This window comes from Homo sapiens, chromosome 7, assembly GCF_000001405.40.
Source record: "Homo sapiens chromosome 7, GRCh38.p14 Primary Assembly".
Taxonomy (NCBI): Eukaryota; Metazoa; Chordata; class Mammalia; order Primates; family Hominidae; genus Homo; species Homo sapiens.
Window position 1 is genome coordinate 21215197 of NC_000007.14, and position 1770 is coordinate 21216966.

Consider the following 1770-nt stretch of genomic DNA (forward strand, 5'->3'; position numbering starts at 1 on the left):
ATAGACTTCAAGTCTACACCACAGACCACCCTTAAACATCAGTCAACATATACTCTTAAGCTACAGCTGGGTACTTTTATTCATTTTAATATGCAATTCATGACAGTAGAACATAGAGAAACTTGTTATTCTACTGTATTATACTAGTGGTCGAATCTGCCAGCTATTTTCCTTTGCTGTTACTAGCACTTCCCTCCCATTGGAGTATTTTTTCTTTCTTTTTTTTTCTTTTTTAAATTATTTTCCTTTCCTTTCCTTTCCTTTCCTTTCCCTTTCCCTTTCCCTTTCCCTTTCCCTTTCCCTTTCCCTTTCCCTTTCCCTTTCCCTTTCCCTTTCCTAAAGGGATAGGGACTCACTGTGTTGCCCAGGCTGGAGTGCAGTGGCTATTCACAGGTGTCACCCCTCTACTTATCAGCATAGCAGCTTTGACCTGCTTCATTTCCAAACTGGACCAGTTCACCCCTCTTCAGGCAACCTGGTGGTCCCCTGTTCTAGGGAGGTCACCATAATGGTGAACTTAGTGCCGACCCCTGACCAGCATAGTGCACTACAGCCTCTAATTCCTAGGCCCAAGTGATCCTCCCACCTCAGTCTCCCTAGTAGCCAGGAGTGCAGGTGTGACTGCACTCCCAGTAAATGGAGTATTTTATAATTGTTAAAATCACTGGATATAGATTCTAAGCCTTTTTTGACCATTTTTAAATCAATTAGAGAAGGGATCTTGTAAGCTGCAGTGAATCCTTCTGAAAGTCTGCGTTGCAGAGAATGAATGCCTCCAGAAGATGCAGTACACTGGGGAGGACACTGGCTCAGGCGACTCTCAGCCATCCCAGGTCAACAGGGAAGTCCCAGGTGGACACCAGGAACTTGTTGGGTCACCCATTCATACATGCAATTTTTCTTCCCACTTTTCTACAGCAGGAGTCTAGATTCAAACTGCTGATTAGGTGTTTTGTAGAAATAGTACAACAAAGAGAATTAAGTCTATTGCAACAGCCATAGGGTTTAGGCTGGGTGTCAGGATTTCAGATGGAGGCTGGAGAAGCAAAGCTATTAAGTAGCAGATCCACTCAGAGAACATAGACCCTCCCTCCCTTTACTTGCATCATATCCCTTCATAATGACAATTATCATAATACAGCAGTTCATCTAAAAAATGTAAATCTGTGGGCAAATGTAATTCAATGCACAGAATTTTATTTTACAGAAAAATTTAATTTTATAGAAAAAATAATTATATATGGAAAATTAAGTACAGATTAATAACAAATTTTACTGTAATTTATTGGATTTGTGCTCACCATTATACTATATCCCAAAGTCTCAGAAAACCAAACTTTCTCTTAAAGCATCCTACCTAAAGTGAAACTGAACCTTATCATATCCCACTCTGTAAATAAGCTCCATTCCAATTACATTAAAATTACAGAATAACATATTTGTTTTGCTTTGTTGTTTTGTACACAGCAGTATTTCCTATGCTAAAAATGAAAAGCTCATCCACTACAGGATACTCTTATCTGTGTTTTTCTTCCTTAAATCAATACATTAATACATCCTTAATACATGAAGACAACATTCTTAGAACTCATGAATCTGTTATCTGTCCCTTCTATTGCCTAGATTTAATTTGATGTTGGTCTAGGGTCTTTCCACAGTGTGCTAAAAGAAACAATTTGTCTTGTTTTGTTTGTTTCATTCTGGATATTATTCAATATTTCTGGTGTGGATTGGGGAATTGTAGCTAGGATCCATGCAATATAAATGAAA

General features: G+C 38.6%; 1 pseudogene; it reads right to left on the minus strand.

The window, feature by feature from the left end:
- RN7SL542P (RNA, 7SL, cytoplasmic 542, pseudogene) lies at window positions 341-616 on the minus strand (annotated as a pseudogene).